We start from the raw sequence: 16,333 nt of genomic DNA on the forward strand, positions 1-16,333 counted from the left end.
GGTTTTAATCTCTGAAAAAAACTGAGGTTTAATATATGTGACTTTCTTTTTCTTCTTCTTCTTTTTTTTTAGACAGAGGCTTGCTCTATAACCCAGGCTTGAGTGCAGTGGTGCAATCTTGGCTCACTGCAACCTCCGCCTCCTGGGTTCAAGTGATTCTCCTGCCTCAGCCTCCTAAGTAGCTGGGATTACAAGCACCTGCCACAACACCCAGCTAATTTTTATATTTTTAGTAGAGTTGGGATTTCAACTTATTGGTTAGGCTGGTCTCGAACTCCTGACCTCAAGTGATTCACCTGCCTCGGCCTCCCAGAGTGCTGGGATTACAGGCATGAGTCACCTCACTTGACCTATGTGACTTTTTAAATAAGATTTTGTTCTACTATATTTAATAAAATTTGACAGTTGAAAAATGTGTTTCTCCACTCTAAGCATACAGTCCTTAACTATTATATAAGGAATAAATATTTGGCTACAAATAACATTGACCTGGGGCAGGGTTACACTGGTTAAGAATATTTACAGAATTTCCCCTAGATTACCTGACATCATTATTACATATCTTCCATCATTACACCTTGATTTTGTTCAGCAGGTGTACTCAGCTGTAAAACTGCATTCCTCACTCTCCCTTGCAGATAGGGACAGACGTGTTACTCAGCTCTCCCAAAGGTATATAGTAGGCAGAAGTTGTTGCTGGGAGTTTCTGGAAGAGTGCTCTAAAAACAAGGGTTCCCCCTTTCTCTCTCTTTCTGATTATTTTTATTTATTTATTTATTTATTTATTTATTTATTTATTTATTTGAGATGGAGTTTCGCTCTTGTTGCCCTGACTGGAGTGCAATGGCAGGATCTTGGCTCACTGCAACCTCTGCCTCCTGGGTTCAAGCAATTCTCCTGCCTTAGCCTCCTGGGTAGCTGGGATTACAGGTGCCCACCACCATGCCCAGCTAATTTTTTGTATTTTTATTAGAGATGGGGTTTCACCATGTTGGCCATGCTGGTCTAGAACTCCTGACCTCAAGTGATCCACCCACCTCGGCCTCCCAAATTGCTGACATTACAGGTGTGAGCCACCACACCCAGCTTCTTTCTGTTTTAGATACAGATATGATGGCTGGAGTTGCATTAGCCATCTTGTGGCTATGAAACAATTTGTACAAAAGATAGTTGGGCAGAAAAAGAGAAGCCTCCTGAGACATTGTTGCCGTGAGTAATCCCTAATACAAATCGAAGACTCCGAACTTGTTTAACATTAAATAAAAATGAACTTTTGGCCGGGCATGGTGGCTCATGCCTGTAATCCCAGCACTTTGGGAGGCGGAGGCAGGCGGATCATGAGATCAAGAGATGGAGACCATCCTGGCCAACATGGTGAAACCCTACTCTACAAAAAAAAAAAAAACACAAAAATTAGCTGGGCATGGTGGCACGTGCTTGTAGTTCCAACTGCTCGGGAGACTGAGGCAGGAGAATCACTTGAACCCAGGAGACGGAGGTTGCAGTGAGCTGAGATCGCACCACTGTACTCCAGCCTGGGTGACAGAGCGAGACTGTGTCTCAAATAATAATAATAATAATAATAATAATAATAATAATAATAATAATAAAATTTAAAAATGAACTTTACCTTGTTTAAACCACTCTTATTTCTATTATCAGCAGACTAATGCAAGTCCTGGCTGATTCACTGAGATCATTAAGAAAAAATAAACAAAAAACCAACTTTTTATATAGCCTACAAGGTGGAACAGCAGAATTTCACCTCAGTCAATTCAAATATGGAATCACCATTTGTCATATACAGCAAAACCATAAAATTATCTTTGTTCATGCTGAACGCTCCATGATTTTCTGTTTAAACTCATCTTTACTCATTCTGAAGTCTATTCAAGCAGGCATTAAGACAGTTGTGAATTGTGATGAACATTCATTGAATTAATTCATGGGAAAAAAGTTTTATTTATTTTTATTTGCCTTTATTTTCATTAGCTGAAAAATGAGAACATACCTCAGGATACTAGAATGCAACAAAATATTAACTCTCTCAGACTTAAGGAATCACGTCTACTAGATCATTTTTGTGTAGGAATACAAAACAGAAGTGATAAAAATGGTGTGCTTAATTTAAAAATGTGCATATTTAGGGAAGGTATTTTTATTTAAAATTTTAATTAGTGCAGCAATTAAATATTAAATCCCATAACAAACAAAACACCTGTCAAGCACAGTTAGAAGGGAGAATACAATGATGAATACAATATCATCTCTACCTTAAAGAACATCATAGTTTGGTTTATAAAATCAATAAACAAAATTATTTTTAGAGTTGAAAAATTGAGGTAAATGAGGTTCAATGATTTAATACAGATTATACAGCAGGTTAATAGAAGAATCCCAGTCTCCTCACTCCTAAATCAATGGCTTTCTACAAAGTCAGACCTCTGACTTTAATTTTTTAAATTTTTAGTTGAGATAGGGTCTCACTCTGTCACCCAGGCTGGAGTGCAGTAGTACAATCATAGCTCACTGTAACCTTAAATTCCTCAAGGGATTGTCCCTGTTCAGTCCCCTGAATAGCAAAGACTACAGGCACGGTGCAGCTAACATTTTTAAAGATTTTTTGTAAAGATGGGGTTTCACTATATTGCCCAGGCTGGTCTCAAACTCCTGGCCACAAGCAATCTTCCCACTTTGGCCTCCCAAAGTGCTGGGACTACAAATGTGAGCCACTGAAGGCTTTTGACTTTAGAGAGGATGGAAGATAGTATCTTCAAATGACACATTATTGTACTTTTTTTTTGAGACGTATTGTACCTTTTTTTTATTTCCATGAAGTAATGCTCCCTTTTCTTCTGAGGCTTTTCAGAGAACACTGGAGTATCTTCAAGTCTCAACATATTTGAACTCTTTATTTATTTATTTATTTATTTATTTATTTATTTATTTATTTATTTTGAGACGGAGTCTCGCTCTGTTGCCAGGCTGCTAGAGTGCAGTGGTGCGATCTTGGCTCACTGCAACCTCCGCCTCCGGAGTTCAAACGATTCTCTTGCCTCAGCCTCCCAAGTAGCTGGGACTACAGGTGCACGTCACCATGCCCAGCTAATTTTTGTATTTTTAGTAGAGACAGGGTTTCACCATGTTGGCCAGGATGGTCTCGATCTCTTGACCTCATGGACTCCCTGCCTCAGCCTCCCAAAGTGCTGGGATTACAAGTGTGAACCCCTACTCCTGGCCCATATTTGAACTCTTAACCAAAAGAAAGTGAGTTTTCAAAGTACAGAAGTTAACCTGCTACCTTCACTGATTCATGACTTGGGTAAAACAATTATTTACATCCAATCTTTTTTCTTTCCCCATATCAGATTACATTCAGCTACATATAACAGAAAACCTAAAGTTGTATGGCTTAAACACAAAAAGGTTTATTCACACACATGACCAAGTTTAGAGGTAGGAAGTCTAAGGCAGATTGGAGGCTCTACAATTTGTCAGGGATTCAGCCTCTGTTAATCTTTTTGCTCCACTATTCTGAAGCTCACAAAATGGCTGCCTGAGCACCAGGCATCACATCCATGTTCTAGATGTTATCTAAATAATATCTAATTATCTAGACATTAACTAATATCATGGACCTGCTGCCTGAGGCTACCTGTATTGCTTACTCCATGAAACTAATCATGTTTTTCACCTATTCGTTTTTGCTGTCTTTCCCCTCACCTAATCACTTATGTAGTGCTTTTCCAAGTTTTATGTGCTTACAGATCTCCTAGAGAGCTCATCAAAATGCAGACTCTGATTCAATAGGTCTGAGGTGGGGGCTAAGTATCTATTTGTCTAAGAAGCTCTCAGGAGATGCCAATGCTGCTGGTCCACAGACCACGCTGAGTATCAGAGAGGTAGCGCTGAGGTGAGGAATAGAACGACAGACATTCTCAACCTTGACAGTACATCAGAAAGGCCTGGGGAGTCTGTTAACCTACTCTATAGCTGGGTCCCATTCTCAATGTCTCCTATTCAGTAGATCTGGGCTAAGGACCAAAGTATTTGCATTTCTAATAAGTTTCCAGATGATGCTGAGCCTGCTAATCCAGGAATTACACTTCAAGAACCAGTGACCTTGAATTTTAGTATGGATCTCAAAGAGGTGGGAAATACGGTGAGTGTAGGACAGTAGCACATCCCTCTTGCAGGATACCTACTATGGATGGAAGATCTTTAGAAACTTGGATTTTAAGAGAGATTTTGAACTATGTAAATGTCATCCACCACTCAGTACCAAATATTCTATATCTTTTAGGGGAGGCAAAGCCAAGTAAGGAAATCCTTTCATTTCCACTTTTGATTAGAGGGTTTCTTTTAGTTTTTCTTGAACTCTACCTGGTAGAAAATAACATTAATTTTAGGCAAATTAAAACTTCAGATATCTCAAATGAAGCCTTGAGTTTTTTTAGTGTTAATAATTCCACAGTATATCATTTAGAAGTCTCTAAACATAGACAAATAGAATTCCACAGTTACAGGTATCAAATTGTTGCACACTGACAACCAAATTTTTAAAATGTTGAAATCCTACATATTCTCAGGCAAATGCAGACCACAGGAAAACCACATTTGTCTTTCATTGTTTTTTTTTTCTCTAAAGTTAGGGAATAAACAACTGCTAACTCTGTAGATTGATTTATGAAAGGATATTTTATTTCGGTCAATCAAAAAACTTACTTTAAGAAGTGAATATCTTAAAATAATAAAAGACTTAACTTCATAAGATATATATTATAAATGCACTTCACACATTTGTTTTTATAATCCTTCTAATACACTTAAATTAGTCTATTTAAAATAACTATTTTTAAAAAGTTATTTTGGTTTTGGTAGTAAGGATTTGAGGTAATATAATGTGATTTTTATTTTTTATGTAAACATTTTTTTGAAGAGTTTTGAAAAATTACGCTAACTTAATTTTATTGGGCCCTATAAAATATGCAAGAATCTATCCATTCTTAGTAACGTTTTCTTCTGCTATACTTCTTTATTTTCTTCTTTTCTACAAAAGCAGAAAGACAAATGCAGTGTCTAGTCAAATGCAACACTCCTTCAGATTTATTAGAAAAGCAGATAAAAGAGAGTAGAAAAATGCAGCAATATACATTGTTTGTTTCATTACCCTAATTTCATTTAGGTTTTTCAACTAGTACAGAACTTTCATAACTACCATGCAATAAAAAGAGGGCTTTTCTGTGATAATAAAAATCTTTGACTCTAAAACATCTATTTTGAGCATTTTCTAAATAACACAGCATATGACTTTTCTGAAAGTAAATATATGCATAGATGTCAAGTTGTATGAAATACTTTTAATAAACACAGGAGTAAGCAGAAGTTCAGTAAAATTAGGACATGTCTAATGAAGCTCACTTATAAAATTACATTGATTTTCATCTACCCTGGTGTTCTCATGAAATTTTTTCACATGAAATATTTGAGATCTGAAATAAGATAAGAAAATTTAACTGTATATCTTCCTCAATACTGATTTAATTCTAGAAAAACCAGTCATAACTATTAACTTATTAACTGACAATTAAGTTTTATGAAATAAATCCATGAAATGCAATCTTTTATTAACAAATGAAATTTGTAAGCAATCTGATAGAGTGTCACATATTTTATCAAACATACAATTAACATTTAATTTTGGGAGTAAACAGAGAATGATTTTGAATTGCCTAAGTAAACCAAAAGACAGTCAAAGTTTCTCTGAGATAAACTCTAATGATATTTTGAAAATATTTTAAATGGCCAAAACTGTTTAATACAAATTTATTTCTCACACTTTCTAATAATTTTTCAAATGCTTTTGGAGTATCTTCTCTTGCTGACTGAGCTATCTACCTCTGGATATTAATTATTACATTTTGAATGTAGGTAGAAATTGTTCTTGGAGTAACTAAAAATCATTAGCTGAAATTTAACTTACATATGTTCGTTTGTCTTCATATTTCTTTTCACTTGCTTAATTATGGGAAAGAAAATGTATATCTGAACATAAAAGTACAATTAAAGTTAAGGTTCAGTTAATGATTTTTAATTACTCCAAGAACATTTTGTACCTACATTCAAGAATGTAACTTTTTATGATAAATGTCCAAATTTATATTATATTTTAAAATTTTAGAACTGATATTATCAGAGCAACCTGTACATCAGAGAACAAAAATTGCATGACCACAAAAATATTTTATAATGGTTATAAAAATTATATGTTATGGATACCTTATAAAATCTGATTTATTAAAATCACTTTTTTCTTCTGATCCAATATCCAATTTCATATCAAGAAGCGCCTTTAATTTGGAACTGAGAATTAGAAGACTAGTCACAAAATTTTTTTAAAAAGCCACTCATTTTTAAAAATAGTTAACTAGTTAGAAAATATCTAGTTAATAGATTTTTTTAAGTCTTTGTTTTTTCTGGATGAGAAATTTCCATACTGTTATTGTTTATAGACTTATAGAGTTTGCCACAAATGACTACGAAAATGCTATTTAAATATATAGTTTCTTTTTAGATTAATAAAATATACTATCCTATTAAAATGTTATACATTCAAAATTATTTCTGAATGTGTGCGTTCATTTATTCATCATTCTACAAATGTTTGGTAAGTGTTGCTGTAATTGATTTCAATTTTTTTTTTTTTTTTTGAGACGGAGTTTCGCTCTTGTTGCCCAGGCTGGAGTGCAGTGGCAATCTCGGCTCACTGCAACCTCCGCCTCCTGGATTCAAGCGATTCTCCTGCCTCAGCCTCCTGAGTAGCTGGGATTACAGTCATTCGCCACCATGTCCGGCTAATTTCTTATATTTTTAGTAGAGTGGGGGTTTCTCATATACATTCTAGTCCCTAATTCTGACTGCCCATTTTCTTAAAGTAACTGTAAATTTAGGCTGAGTCTTAAGTTCTAATACAGATGGTAATTCAATTTCTGGCATATTCAAGGTGCTAGTCTCTGTATATCAGAGTTGCAGCCTAATGCATCAGGGCTAGTTGTCCAAATGCTTGGAGATGGCAGGTGGCAACCACAGATAAGGCAGGCCTATGTCAAACTCAAGAGTGAATGTTTTTGCTAAAGTATTTATATTTTTAAAATGTTAGTAGTAAACCATGTTGAGCAAACGAAACATATTTGTGAGCATAAGTCAACCCATGGACCTCAGGGCTGCAATTCTTTCATGGAAATCTTCTCATGTAATCTTCATAAAATCTCTGCCCCTCAATTTGCTATGAGCTTGTTCTGGTCCTTATCTTTCCAAGAACCCTAGAAGTTGGAGTGACCTAACAACAAATCCACATGGGCAGAGGTCCAGGGACTGAGCTCTGAAGGATCCTGAAAGAAAACAATGCTGGGAGCACTGCTCTGAGGAGTACAAAAGTGTAAAAGAGAAATGAACTTAATCACAAAACTGAAGATTGCACTGAAGAATACTTAAAAGTCCTTTTTAAACCACTCAGGTGGAGAGAATGCAATTATCTGGCACCAACTATGTTCTAAGAACATAATTCTCCCCAAGATTTTGAAGAACATATTTAATTCGTACATCTACAATGCAAATTCATCTTTCATTGGCCTCTATAATACCCAGCTTTCCCAAATGCTCTTCCACAGCACAAAAAGTAACATCAGTTTGCAAATAAAAGGTGCAAGAAGGTGTACAGTACAGTCGTGAAAAGGGCAATATATACATGCATATAAAAGAGAATTAACAAACAAAACCTTGATTTCTAGAGAACATGGAAGTTATACCAGACAAGGAGAATGTAGGGGAATCTCATATTTATAGTACCCTTACCTATACATGACAAAGTTTACCTCCATAAACAAAAACATTAGCAGATGCTGCTAACATTCTGCAAGTAATAAATTCCTACTTATGCATCTGTGGATATTACACTATTAAAAGGCACATTTATTTCTTGATGCATGTCTTTGCTAATGTCCTAAATTTGGGTTCCAGGTGATCTAGAAACTCCAGTCCCTCTTCTTCCTGCCGATCGCTGCAGCAACCTACTGAGCCGGCCAGAGAACCTTTGCCTTCATAGTTATACGAACAAACGTAGTCTTCACAATGTTTATGCTCCTCATCTTGTCCACACAAATACACCTTCTGTATCAAAAAAGAGCACATTTTATTATTTTTTAAAAAACACCTAAACATATTAGCAGAAAAATGATGTCTTTGATTTACCTTTTACTGTTTAATTTTTAATCAGAGTGTGTCCTCTAATGGATTCCTATATATAAAAAATGCACAGGATTGGTCTGTATTATAGTCACTCTTAAAATATAGCAAATAAATAAATGCTTCTAGTGAGCACATTTAAAAAATTAAGACTACGCATATATCACGCAACACATTTATAATTTCCCATTTGAACACAAAACATGTATATTTGAAATTTACCTTTGTAGCTTCTTCACGTATTTGAGGAAAACCAATATAGGCTATGATTCCTATGTTTATACACTACTATATAACTGTGATAGTGTAATATATTAAACTGGCTAATATCAAACCTATACTGATTAATCTGAACATAAAACAAAACAAGGAACTAAAACTCAAAATAAAAGCTCAACAATTTATCTGGTTGATTTTGATAGCCAGGACTTCATAACCACACAAAGAACTCAAGCACACTGAGAAATGTTTATAATTTATGATCCATTCATTCCTGTATAATAAATATTTCACTCCAGCTGGTTTTCCTGTTAATTTCTAGGGAAGAGGCTATGAACCTTTTATCCTTTGTAAACACATCTACATATGGCACTCCTAGATAAAGTTTTGTAAACTGTATTTTCAAAGGTGAATTTTCAAAGATCATTTTTATCTTTGGGTTTAAACCAGACATCCACATCTATGATAATCCAACAGGTAAAAGATGTTGAATTCCAGGTATATGAGGAGTAAAACTTTTGGGAAATTCTGATTTATAACTAGCATTTAACTTCCATGTAATATGACCTCAAAGACAGTGGAACTTACTTCGCCAAGCCGAGGTTGGGTGAAACTCTGCCAGTCCGTGTACGCATATCTGCCAGTATCTCCCTGCCCCACTCCCTTGACGGACTCCAAGGTCTGATGTCCACCTCCTTTGTTGGAATCCAAAGTGTAGCCTCCTTTGACCATCTCAAAACTTTGCTGTGTTTTGATTCCCTGGCCACCAACAGTACCAACAGACATGCTTGTGTCACAAATGTTGGATGTCTGCATGGGGAGTCTAATATTTGCTTCCTAAAAGTAAAGTGAGAGTGATAAAGTGAATTTGAAAAATGGAAACTAACAATTCATTTTCATTTTTTTTCACCATAGGCAAATCACTTGCCTGCTGTGCCTCTCTGTTCCTCATACATAAAATCAGAATAATAGTATCATAGGTGTGATGGGTTGAATTGAGTCCCCTAAAAATTCATATGCCCTAACCCTCAGTAACTCAGAATGTGAACTTATTTGGAAATAGGGTCATTGTAGATGTAATTAGCTAAGATGAGGTTATATGGGATTAGAGTGGGTCCCTAAGCGAATATAATCAGTATCCTTATAAAAAGGGGAAATTTGGACACAGACATGCACACATGGAGAATCGCCATATGAAGATTTGATTTCCACTGCCATAAGCCAGGGAATTGGCAGAAGCTAGGAGAGAGTCCTGGAACAGATCCCTCCCCAGTTCCTTCAGAGGGAGCACGGACCTGCCAACACCTTGATCTCTGATTTCTAGTCTCCAGATCTGTGAAACAATACTTGTCTGTTGTTTAAGTCACTCAGTTTGTTGTGACAGCCCTAGCCCTGTAGAATTGGGAGGTTTAAATGATTTAAAACACTGAGGGCACTTGAAACTCTGCTTAGCATAGTAAGTGCTCAATAAACATTAGTGATATTATCATTGACATTGTTGAGTAATAATCTGTCATCATTTGTTCACCGTACAATTCAAAGGGATGTGAAATCTGATTTACCGTTACTTCTTCTCCAGGTCCTTCAGTATTTGATACAATTAAATTTTGCTGGGCTATGTCTTCTGGAAAACATTTCTTGACTGTTCTCTTAGCAGTGACACAGAAACATGTAAACAGAATACCTAAAAAGCAAAAAAGATCAAAGTAAAACACAGACATTAAATCATTTGATTACATGATTTTTTAAAGTCTTCTTGCATATGTCTCAAAAAATTCATTCCACAAATTGAGCTCTTCAGGTCACAAGATTTAAAAACAGAATATTTTAAAAATGTATTTATACTATTTGTAGCTTAGAGAGATTAATAATAGCTCTCTTCCCAGGTCCAGAATTAACTTATATGTGTCTTTTATTTCTTCTACATTGAAATGGTAACTTCATCTAACTGATATTTAAGATAGCATCATTAGTAGTTAAAATCATACAGAACACACTTAAAGGGCTTAAAATAACAAGACTAAGAACATTAGGCATAAATACAAACAAGAAAGGCAATTACATAAAATTGGTGTCTGGTTTCAAAAATGTACATCAACTAATAAAGTGCTAAGAGGAATATCCAATTTAATCTGAAACTCAAATCAATGAATTAGGATACAGTAAAGATTATAGGAAAAGTTTGTAAATGCAAATGGGTTCTTTGGGGTCAGAGGGAGAGAGAAAGAAAAAGAAAAGGAAAAGAAGAGAGAAACAGAAAGAAAGAAAGAGAAAAAGGCAGTCTTAATTAAGCGTGGGCAATATTTCTATTACTTTTGTACCTCCAAATAACAGTTTGCACAATGCAAAATCTTAGCATCCTTTGCCTGTATTGCTTTTCCTCAGTGGCTCATATGACCATTTTTCACTCACGGAAGTCTTACGATGATGCTAAATCACTTCATTAATAATATGGAACAGAAATATCTGAGTAAATTTTGGAATAGCTCTGTTTTCACAAATTCTTTTTGTATGTATGTATTCCCTACATAAACATGGCTGGTTGAAAGACTATATTATTTTACATGGAGGGAATCTTAATAGTTTTACCCAGCCTCTTCATTTTACACATGGAAAAATGAGTTCAAAAAGGAGGAAATAATTTACCCAATGTCTCACAGATAATTATTGAAGAACTAAGGCTACCACCTCTGAAACTGACTTTAAATTTAATCTGCTGTTACTGATACATTTATCACTCAGAGCCCCAAGACATAAAATAGATACAATATTTTTAAAAGAACACACTTCCCAAAGGCTATTAATATAAAAAACTTCCATGTTTTAAAAATACTAGATAAAATTTTAGCTAACACATTCTAGATAATGATACTTAATATACTTACATAATAACAATACAGAACCCAACACCATAGCAAGAATAGCCCATCTTCCAAGTATTACATTTGGTCTAACGTCTCTTGTACTTTTATCCTTCATTCTACACTCAGATGGAGTTGAACAGTCACATACTCTCACTGTTAACATATGTGTTGCAACTAAACCATGCCTGTCTTTTATTTGAATAGGCACAGAATAATAGTTATAATCAAGATTTTGCCGTTGACGAAGAATGGCAGTTTTACCTAGGGAAAAAAAAGACAGAATATATATGGATTGGCTGTTTAGATGGCAGTATTATTCCTACTCAATATTCTCAGTGGAAGGGAATCAATTTAGAATAAAAACTCGAATTTTTCTTTTTTTTTTTGAATTTGTGATTTCCCAGAAGAGCCAGAAAAGTAATTGATGTTGCTTTATGCTGATATTAAACTAATCTGTACTTAACATGTTGCTCAAATGTTAATTAAAAAGGGACTTATATGTTTTCTTAAAAGATATTCAGAACAAGAGTCTAAGCTCATCACAATGGCACTAATTTTTTTTAAAGATTAGGTATTGTTGTTTTTAGGGTTAATAAAATAATTTCCTAAAATAAATGTGTATTTATTATGATAAACTAAGGTGAAAGAACCATCACCAATCTGAAGTCCGTATTGACTATAAAATTTAGCATGATTACATACCATCCTTTTCTTCTATGTTCCAGTTTTTACTGGCAGAATTATCCAGAAAGAATTGAAAAGGTGGTCCATTTTCAGGTCCATCTGGATCTACAGGTTTCAGAACAGCAAAATCCTCATTATTCTGACAAATGGTCACTTCTTTGTCAATTTGAGGTGCGTGATCGTTGTAATCATCCAAATGAACTACTAATGTTCCAGTGCAAGATCGGCCAACTAAGATTAATTAAAAATAGGTTATTTCTTCACATGAAAATGCATTTATTTTCAACAATTTATAAAATACACAGTTGACATCTGCTTTCTACTAGCTGTCTGAGCTTGAGTTCGCATACATGCTTCCCAGATTTCAGACACCAAGACTACAAAATAGGGACATGTCACTTTTCTTTGAAGACTAGGGCTGGATCAGATAATTTCTTCAGATGCTTTTCAAAACTAAAAGGTATGAGATTATGAGGAAGGTCACTACAGAATGACCTGTTGAAAATAAAACAGATGTCTTACATCCTTCTTTATGAAGCGCATATATTCATCCTTAGAATACAAACACTTTACATTTGGTTGTCAGTCACTTTCTCAGCTTCTCCATTGCATCATATACTTTTTTCCCAAACCTTGAAAACTTCTCTAGAAATGCACTAAGTGTTCCCCTTCCTGTCTGCTTTGTAGCATTCGGTTGCCACTCCTAGGAATACTTTTCTCCTCTTCTTTGCCAGATAGCACACTATTATCTTCAAGAATCTACTTAAATGTCACGTCCTCATGAAACTCGTGACTTCCACAGACAATGGTAGCCATATTCCAGTGCTTTCTCAGAACTCTTTGCTAATACTTTGGCTCACACACTGAACTGCAAAAGTAGCATAGTAAGTTGTATTCACCTTGAGAGCCTAGTGATTTGCCCAGTATTTCCCAGCTAACTATAACTTAATACTGACACATTGAACATAATGCAGTTCCTATTTTTATACTTGAAAACATTTAATTGAATAAGCCAGAAAAATAAGTTTTCATCTCTACCCTAATGCAATTCATATGTTCTTGACAACAGGAACTGTCTCGTACTCATCTGTTGATTGCCACTATTATTGGCCTAAGACTTCACACATAGTATTTTTAGTTAAAATAGTGCCCATTATTTGTGTTTAAGAGATAATGAAGTTCAGAAACATGTCAAATCCCACCATTTGTAAAAGGATAATAAACTACAATAAATGATAAGATATCAAAATTGAAATAAACAGAAAGGTAATTGATGTAATTTTTCATGTTTTTGCTTTAAATACTGGTCCACATTTTGAAACATGTATGTTGAATTTATCATAAAGACTACTATAACTCCCATGCAAATATAATTTATTTTTCTTTTTAATTTGAAATAACCCTAAGTCATATCATGTAGTGTATTTCAAAAGAATTTTTTCTGTTGAATAACTACAAAATTAATTTATTCAGTGACTTTTAAACTAATTGTTTGTATAAAGTAACTACTATTTATGCCTATTTTAAAACTACCTGAACAAATTTAAAAATATCCAGAAATAAAAGAGAGATATAGCTATTTGTTGAAGAAATTTGCAATAGCATATAAATACTTTGAGACTGCCAGAAAATAGCAAATAAAGTTGAATATAAGTAATAACTTTAAAATCAGCAAACTAAGAAATGAATAATATGAAAAAGAGGCCTTATAAAGTAAAAAATTTAGTTGCATACACTACACATGAGTTGATATATATACTATAATTTCACCTTTTAAAATTTAAGCAGAAAGCCTTTCTCTTTATAGAAAAATCGTAAGAAAACACACTTTAAAAATCCAAAAAAAGTGGTAATTATAGTAACGCAAATCAAGATTTATTTAATCACATATTCAACCAACATTTATCCCATAACTTACTATTTTCTATTACAGTCTCTGCTTTAAGCATGTTGATAAAAACAGATGAAAGATGCTTGAAATGATTTAAATGGAAGGCAATCAAAGACAAAGCTGAGAAGGTCTTAGAACAGGGGTGTCCAATCTTTTGGCTTCCCTGGGCCACACTGAAAACAGAAGAATTGTCTTGGGCCACACATAAAATACACTAACACCAATGATAGCTGATGAGCTAAAAAATATATGTTGCAAACAAATCTTATAATGTTTCAAGAAAGTTTATGAATTTTTGTTGGGCCACATTCAAAGCCACGCTGGGCTGCATGCTGCCTGCAGGCCACAGGTTGGACAAGCTTGTCTTAGAAGATATCAAAAATTACAAGAGGTTGATGGTAAGTTTTTATTTTACCCCTGGGAAGAGGTAAACAGCCAAAAATAAGTAATTACTGATAATAGCTGAGCATGATGAAGTCATTGGTGTGTTTATTTACTTCTAAAATTTACTTTAAATTAAGCACATAAGCAAACATCAAGTATAAATGAGTAAGAAACACCAATCACAGAGCTAGAAAGTACATCTTGGGTTAACTAAAAATCTTCATAATACTTCAACAGCAATTCTGGAAAGCAGTCGTTTTTTATTGCTACTCAAATGTTTCAGTAACTAGAATCACTGTATTATAAATCAGCCTACTCTATAAATTTTAAAATTAATTGTTAAAAGATTTAAATTTTTAATTATTAAGCTACAATATGCCTCCTAATGATTTCCTGTAATTTGTTCATGTTCTTTTTGGACTATACATGCAAAATGTTTGCCACTTGTACATGACAACCCTTAAATATTTGTTCTCTTAAGAAAATCCTTCTTACAGAAGGGAAAAATAAAGAAGCACTTAATAAATGTTTAATCTCAATTTTCTACATTAAAATCAGTTTTCCCAAGTGCTAATTATGTCCCTAGAATTGTAAAGCTTTTTGCAGTGAAATGTATAACGTGGAGATTCATAGGACTCTCAAACAACAAAGGAATGACAAATATCAGCACCTGCACTGTGCATATGTATACCACATTTTCTGCCAGATACTTGGAAAGGGACGATTTACAAAGAAAAAGGGTCTTTATACAAAATTGAACTCATAATTAAGCTTGTTAGGAGAACAGAATATACATGAGAAACAATGAAAGCAGCCTTTTCTACAGAAGCCACACCATATATGATAATTGTTATCCCCAGTTCAAAAGGTATTTAGAGAAGAACTGAATCCAGACTAATGGAAACAATCACAAACCTTGTCATTGCCATTTATTTGAAGAAGTTAAGGGGCCTGAATTTCAGACAGGAGGAGCAATGCTACTCTAGGTGGAAGGTATGTAAAACAATGCTTTCTCGACTGACAGCAGGGACATCAGCCAGACTGACAGAGGATTGACACAAGAAAGAAAGTTGGATTCTAAGACAGGTAGAATACCTAGATCATCATCCAGGAATAATCATGAGCATCAGAGCAAAATGTGTGTGTGTGTGTGTGTGTGTGTGTGTGTGTGTGTGTGTGTGGATTAAAGTTCAAAGAAACAAAATCCATCATATCACTATATGGTTTTTCACTAAAATGTGTAACATCCTTATCTTTACTTTTTTATTAAACACACCCAGGTTATCTACGGCCCTGGAATGTAGATTTGTTAAAGTTTGCTTTTTATTTTCTACACTACATTCACTGTGCTTACAGACTTTGTCTTTTAGCACCAAAAAACAAAGTTACTTTTTAAATACTTTGTTCTCCATAATTTTCTCCTCTCCAGATAGCATTTTATTTTTAAAAAATTAGGCCTCTGCATTTCTGTAATCTCTTCTCTTTCATCCTTAATCTGAGCAGGTCTTAACTGATCGCCACTTCTGATAATATTCATACATTCTTTTTGAGGAAAGTTCTCACATCATAGAATCTCTTGTGAAACTATAATAATTCTATAGTTGATATCGTGTAAGAATTTGGCCTTATCTTAACATTCTTAATTTCCATGTCAGCTTGTCTAATACTTAGAACTTAATAGACAAACCACCAGTTGGGGAATAAATGAGTAAACATAAAGTCTTCTTTGCCAACATAGAAAAAAGTAGGGGTATAATATCTGAGAACACATTGTTTGCATTTTGTTATTAAAAAAAAAAACAAAGGGACAAATAAATAAGCATGAACATTTTCACTACTACCAACTTATATTAATTACCATGGAATTTCATATGTATTTATTAATACAGTCAACCATTCCTTCTAAAGAAATGCAATAGACACAGGAAAAAAAAACCCATAGCATTGTATCAGCTAGTTTGTTTTGAACATCCAGCATATGCATGTAAAAAGAGTGGAAACCTTCTTGGATTAGGCAGGTAGTCAAACGAATAGGCTATGTTATAAA

At 34.2% G+C, this 16,333-nt stretch overlaps 1 protein-coding gene and 1 long non-coding RNA gene across 3 annotated transcripts in view; one reads left to right on the forward strand and one right to left on the reverse strand.

Moving 5' to 3' along the window:
- Positions 1-16,333, forward strand: part of DSCAS (DSC1/DSC2 antisense RNA) — a 61,202-nt gene that overhangs the window by 20,955 nt on the left and 23,914 nt on the right. The window lies entirely within an intron of this gene.
- DSC1 (desmocollin 1) overlaps positions 6,694-16,333 on the reverse strand; it is a 33,621-nt gene continuing 23,981 nt past the window's right edge. The window contains exons 12-17 of one of the 2 annotated variants that reach the window (NM_004948.3): positions 12,030-12,242; positions 11,349-11,588; positions 10,026-10,147; positions 9,052-9,300; positions 8,251-8,296; positions 6,694-8,169 (exon numbers count right to left, since the gene is read on the reverse strand). In NM_004948.3, coding sequence (NP_004939.1) covers positions 8,261-8,296; positions 9,052-9,300; positions 10,026-10,147; positions 11,349-11,588; positions 12,030-12,242 — 860 coding nt within the window. In that variant the 3' untranslated portion in view covers positions 6,694-8,169; positions 8,251-8,260. The remainder of the gene's footprint in view (positions 8,170-8,250; positions 8,297-9,051; positions 9,301-10,025; positions 10,148-11,348; positions 11,589-12,029; positions 12,243-16,333) is intronic. The other variant, NM_024421.2, reaches the window with a different exon arrangement.

The sequence above is a fragment of the Homo sapiens genome, chromosome 18 (assembly GCF_000001405.40).
Source record: "Homo sapiens chromosome 18, GRCh38.p14 Primary Assembly".
Taxonomy (NCBI): domain Eukaryota; kingdom Metazoa; phylum Chordata; class Mammalia; order Primates; family Hominidae; genus Homo; species Homo sapiens.